This window comes from Homo sapiens, chromosome 16 (genome assembly GCF_000001405.40).
Source record: "Homo sapiens chromosome 16, GRCh38.p14 Primary Assembly".
Classification (NCBI taxonomy): domain Eukaryota; kingdom Metazoa; phylum Chordata; class Mammalia; order Primates; family Hominidae; genus Homo; species Homo sapiens.
In genome coordinates, this window is record NC_000016.10 from 86,085,414 (window position 1) to 86,091,041 (window position 5,628).

At 54.3% G+C, this 5,628-nt stretch overlaps 1 long non-coding RNA gene across 2 annotated transcripts, besides 2 other annotated features; it reads right to left on the reverse strand.

Annotated features, from left to right (window-relative positions):
* Positions 1-1,089: 1,089 nt before the first annotated feature.
* LOC124903742 (uncharacterized) lies at positions 1,090-4,129 on the reverse strand. 2 transcript variants are annotated; one of them, XR_007065162.1, is made up of 2 exons: positions 3,949-4,129; positions 1,090-3,260 (listed from the first exon to the last, which is right to left on the reverse strand). It is a non-coding gene; the product is annotated as an uncharacterized LOC124903742 (long non-coding RNA). The 2 variants fall into 2 exon arrangements; XR_007065163.1 differs by having other exon boundaries at positions 3,689-4,120.
* Positions 2,125-2,750: an enhancer, noted in NCBI's record as "H3K4me1 hESC enhancer chr16:86121144-86121769 (GRCh37/hg19 assembly coordinates)". NCBI's record gives its function as "activates a minimal SCP1, AML or CMV promoter by ChIP-STARR-seq in naive H9 embryonic stem cells {active_cell/tissue: H9 hESC(naive)}" and the evidence as "EXISTENCE:reporter gene assay evidence [ECO:0000049][PMID:30033119]".
* Positions 2,751-3,375: an enhancer, noted in NCBI's record as "H3K4me1 hESC enhancer chr16:86121770-86122394 (GRCh37/hg19 assembly coordinates)". NCBI's record gives its function as "activates a minimal SCP1, AML or CMV promoter by ChIP-STARR-seq in naive and primed H9 embryonic stem cells {active_cell/tissue: H9 hESC(naive and primed)}" and the evidence as "EXISTENCE:reporter gene assay evidence [ECO:0000049][PMID:30033119]".
* Positions 4,130-5,628: the final 1,499 nt, after the last annotated feature.

Below are 5,628 nucleotides of genomic sequence, written 5' to 3' on the forward strand. Positions count from 1 at the left end.
CCTTCTGCTCTCCTAAGCCTTCAGGACGGTGGAAGAAATGAGCAGTGTGGAAAAGGCCTCCGGACTGCCTCCTGCTTGGAGAAGCCGCATTCCTGAGAACCTGCCCCTGCCTTGGGAATGGGGGTCTCTCTTCCCTGGGAGGCCCCCAGGACAAATGGGTGTCAGCTCACCTATGCTGCCCGCCACCCACCCAGGCTCCCAGTGACCACCCTGTTCTTCTGTGTAATTCCACGTGTCAGCGCAGAGAAAGCACCACCTCCTCACCACTGCTTAGGAGGTAGTGCAGCCCAGTGGGCAAGACTGAGGGTTTTTAAGAAGCTGTGTACTTTGGAGCAATTTCTTTCACCTTTCTGAGCCTCGGTGTTGCCATGTATAACATGTGATAACAATCCTTACCTCCTAGGGGGTGGCTGAGACGGCCTATTAACACCCTTATCCATTTTCCTTTCCTGTATGTTGTAATCCTCCCAATTTTAAGCAAAGGAAATGACTGCCCAAAATAAAGACTCCATTTCCCATCCTCCCTTAGAGCTGGGTGTGTCCACGTGACTCTGCCCAGCATCCCTTCATCCTCCTACCCTCGGGGTGTGCACTGTGGGTGAGGGTGAGCTGCTCAGGGCCTTGCAGATGAGGACACACTCCCAGGGGGACACGCACAGCAAGGCGGAGGGAGCTGGAGCCCCTGTGGACTTTGCAGATCAGAGCTTGGGCTTCCATGAGCGAGAGAAATGGACTTTTGTTTATTGGAGTCTTGGTTAGACGCGGTTCAAACCATATAATTTCTAATGCAGATTTTTGAGGTTAAGAGCACGGTTATCATAATTTTACGTGCATCATCTCATTTAATTTTCACAGCCACCCCTCGAGAGAGGTGGGTACCATTGTTATCTCCATTTTGCAGTTGAAAAACCCCGAGCACTTGCCTGCAGTCACGTCATGAATCAAAAGACAGAAACTTACTAGAAACAGGAACTGAGGGTCTCCCCAAAGCAAGTCTTCTGACAATCCAAGATGAGGGTTCCTGCTTCCCAAAGGCAACCAGCCTTTCCCTGAGTATCTCAGGCATTGATGTGTTTTAACCAACAGCCCTTTGCACAAGGTGGCCTTTTAATAAACACTGATTGATTTGTGCTTTTTTGGGAGGGTTGTTGACATGTCAAAAACGGTGGCTCTTACTAAGATGTGAAACTGGTAACAGCAACTCTGCCTCAACGTCTGATGCGGTTATAGGTTCCCAGGAAGCCACAGGCCTCAGGACTCCAGGTTGCTCAAAGGCTGGTGTCTTCCTGAAGGAGGGCTGTTTTCGCGCCCAGCATGGCGGTGGGGTCTGGAGAGCACACCTCTGCCTCTCCTCCAGAAGAAACCTATCCTTCCTTGGAAAGAGCAACAGCATTTCAGCTGGGAATAACATAAGGCTCTGCTACGAGAAAGTGCTTTCACTGACAACTCTCACAAGAAACTCTTGCCTGTCTGTCTTGACTGTCCGCTGCCTAAAACTTGGTGGTTTTACGGGCAGAGTGAAGGATGTGGCTCACACGACTCGGTGGGCCAAGAGGGAGGTATGAGTGATCAGAGAGTCCCGGGTGGAGGGAAGAAGAACCCAGGTGCCTTTTCACAGCGTAGGGACAAGGAGGGCGCAGGGAAGGACCCAACCTGGCCCAGCGGTCTCCCTCGGCGGGCCATGCCCGGCCCTATCCTTCCGCCGCGTCTGCGCCTCCTTTCCCATTGTGTTTGGCTCCCTGGCACCGGATGGACCCGGCTTGGCCACCATGTTCTGAACAGGCGTTCTCACATTTTTCTTCCAAGATGGGCTCAAACATAAACAGCCCCGGATGGTGGGCATCCGGACTCCGGGGGCCCATTGGCTCTATCCGGTGTTTGTCACTTCCCCGGAGACTGCTGGCGGTGAAGGGTGGGGTTTGAGACAGGCATTCATGTGTCCGAGGAGCGGCCAGGACAAATGGGTATGTCGGGAGGTCGGGATCAGAGAGCCCGATGTTTATGCTGCTGGGCCCTGGGACGCGCCCATGTTGGTTGACTCCACCATATGAAGTCTGTTCTGTTTTGCTTCACAGGAAGCTTGCAGCTTGGAAGTGTGTCCAGCGTAAGGCTTCCTAATCACTCTACTGTTTCTGGCTGCCTTTGAGGATTTTGGCAGGAGAGAAACCATTGCTCTACATTTCCCAGGAAATAGTGGGGTCTGAGGTGTCTGGTGCTTGACTCGGACCAAGATGAGCCGAGGGGGTGGCGGTTGGCAGGTCTCATCCAAGATAGCTTTGTCTGTGTCTCAGCCGCTTTGGAACTGGAGGGGATCCCGATAGAGACTTAACACAGTGTTAGTAAGAGGCAAATGTCTGGCCGTGTGATCCTGGGCGACTTCCTGGGAACTAGACTTGCCAAGTTCCAAGCTTTAAACGTTGGCTGGGTCAAGGCACAAATGCACCTGTGTGTGCACGTGGGCACAGATGTGTATGAACGTGTGTGAAGCCCCAGAAAGGACCCCTGGGGTGCTCATTTTTTACCCCCAAGGGAACCAGTCTTGAAAATGAGCAGGCGGGCACTGGGAAGCCCCTCCGAGGGTTGGTGTAATCGGTGGGGGTGAGCCGGCTTCCCAAGGCCATCCATCACACAGAGGGCTGGCGGTATGTTAGCATCGCCTCAGCAAGAGATAGCGGGGGAAAAATGGCCTGGACGGACGATGTGCTTATCTGGCCTGGTGTCTGCGAGGCCTGTCGAAAGGGGATAGGTCCATTCATCAAGCCAGCAGGGGTTACCCCTAGCTGGGGCCCCACAGCACCTCTCACTCCTCTCTGGCCTCCACGTTCTGAACCCACCTGGTCGCCCCACATCTTTTTCATAGACTTGACAAGACTATGTCGTCCAAAGTGGTGATACATGAGGCTTATCTGTGGTGTGTTACAACAGGAGATGCAGATTTTTCTTTGTTTACAGTTTCCAATTCTATGAGCTTGGATGAGTTATACAATTAAACAAAGCAAAGCAATATTGTCTTCTAAGCTAACCTGTGGTTGCAGAGGGAACTCCCAGTCAGGCCATGGACAAGATGTTCGTCATCACTGTTATGTGAGACTTCTGTTGTGTCCAAATAAGTTTTTGCATCACATTCCGTGTTGAGATGGGCGTCCTCAGTGTACAGAGTTGCTTGCTGGTCAATGTGAGGACAGATTGCCAAGATGCAGGGTTGCTATGTCGCACTTTCAACTGACCCCAGATGACAAATGAAACTCCAGGGGCTAATTCTAGACAAAGGAATTTCAGCAGCCCCAGGTGACTTTCAGCAGCTCCCCAACCCCCATCTCGCACCACTCCCCAACCCCCCACCCCTCCCACCCCGCCCCCCACCCCAGGATGTGACTTTCATTTTCATGCCTAAGAGATTCAGGGCCCTGTACCCACTTCCTGGGGACCATGTGCTGTGGCCCTGCCCCTGGGTCTGCTCGCTTAAGGCAGGTAGGTGAGGGATTTCTGGCATGCCATGGCTAAGGGGACCCAGCATCCCTCCAGCTCGCTCTTTGAGCATCTCCCAGTGCCCGGTGTAGCCAGCTGAGCAAGGCAAGGCGGGAGCAATGGACGTAAGGGCAGGCAGAGCTGAGGCTCCCACAGGGGTGCCCCAGGGTCTCTGGACCCTCCCTGGATGCGCTCCGCCCCTGAAAGCTGCCTGGCTTACCTGCAGCCTGGGAGTGGCCTCTGGCCACTGACACATCTGTACTCAGAGAGGCTGCCGGCTGACACTCCCGCTCAGATGGTCTTTGTTGGACATTATCTTCTAGGTGGGGGATGGGGGGGATGGGGAATGCCCAGGGGACCAGACGGCCCCTGTCAGTTGCCCTGTGGGTGACCTCCACCTGCCTCAAGGAGGTGATCCTCATTAGCCAGGTAGATGATAACAAGAATGGCAATAATAAATAGCAGAAGTGGAAGACCTACCACTGTGTGCCAGGCCATGTATGGATGTCATTCTCTGCAACACCCCTGTCAGGGCAGGTGTCCCTGAGCCTGCGCTGCAGCCGAGGGATCCCAGGCTCTGAGCAGGGTAACCATACCCCAGCTCCGTGTGCAGCTCAGTGTTGGCCCCTGAGCCCGGGCTGTGCCTCCTGCTCTTTGGCCCAGCTCATTCAATCTCCATGGTTGCCGGGAGGGAGGGCCTATTGTGATGCCCGTTTTGCAGACAGGCATGGGGTGACTCGCGTTTACAGGTGAGGAAATGGGCTCAGATTGGGGGAGACGCTGGCAGCTGGAACTGGGAGCCCTGTTCCTGCAACACAAACTCACAGGGAAGCCAGACGCAGGGGCCAGAGGCCCGAGGGGGAGCTGGGCTGGGAGGGTCTGGATTTGGCTCTCTTGCCTTCCCAGTGAGGGGATTCAGGGGGATCTCGACCACACCCCCAGGGAGAGCAGGGGATGTTATTGACGGAACCATTCCTACCTGTTAACTATGTGCTGCGTGCTGCTAGGAGCATCATCTCCCCATGTTCCCTCCACAGTCCTCTTCTCAGCCCCATCTTATAGATGAGGGAACTGAGGCCAAGAGAGAATGCGTGACTTTGCCAGTGTTGCTCAGCTAGGAAGAGATGGAGCTGGGATTTGAACCCAGGCCCAGGTGACTCTGCAGCCCCCCAGGGAAGGTTGTTGCTCCCTGGCCAGGAAGCACCGTCTGCACTCACAGGTCACTTCCCAGGTGACTTTCAGCAGCCTCCACCGAGACATGACTTTCATTTTCATGCCTAAGAGATTCAGGGCCCTGTACCCACTTCCTGGGGACCATGTGCTATGGCCCTGCCCCTGGGGACTCTCCCTTAAGGCCCGTGGGTCCACTTTTGCAATTTGTATTTGAAAAACAGGAACAAGGCCAGTACCCTGGTTGTTCCTCCTCAGGGCTTGGGAGCTTTTCCCAAATGAACGAGAGACTTCTTGGGTGGGTTTGGCTGCTGTCTGCCACGGTGGAGTCTCTCCTTTAGTCTCTGCCCTAGCCTGTGTTCTTTCCCTGGGTTTCCAGAGCAAAGGCATTTTAGAACACAGTGGTGTCTGTTCTTAGGGGTCTGGTGACTGTTTTTTGTTTTTTTTTTGTAGGCAGTGTGGGCTGTCGCTGTGCCCTTCTAACTTGACCCCAGAATGTAGCGTCGTTATCGGGCCATCTCTGCAGCCTGTGTGAGTCCAGTTGAATTATGTCAGGGAGGTTATCAAGGGACACACGGTAGTTCTGCCAGGGCAGCCGGGTCTTGGGGTTAAAGGGCAAAGGTCAGCATCTACCGGGGGCTCCATGTGGGATGGATTAAGTTGCCACCATGCTTGGGTGGCGGGTGGCCCGAGGGAGGACTCAGCCACTCCTAGGCCAGACCCTGTTGAAGTCACCTTGGTGTGAACCACAGGGCTCAGATCTCTAAGAATTGACTCAGTTTTTCTCTGGGAGGAAAAATCCAGTAGGCTCTTTGGAATCAGGATGGATGCTTACAGGGGAACAGTGTCTGTGGGAGTGGAGGGTCTTGGTTTCTGTGTGTGGTGGCTCCAGGCTTGGAGTGGGAAGGGGTGGGTGAACTCCTCAGCCAGAGCATTCATGGACACACAGTTGAGGACCCTGGGTTCAAGGGGTGGGCTTGAAAGCTGTGA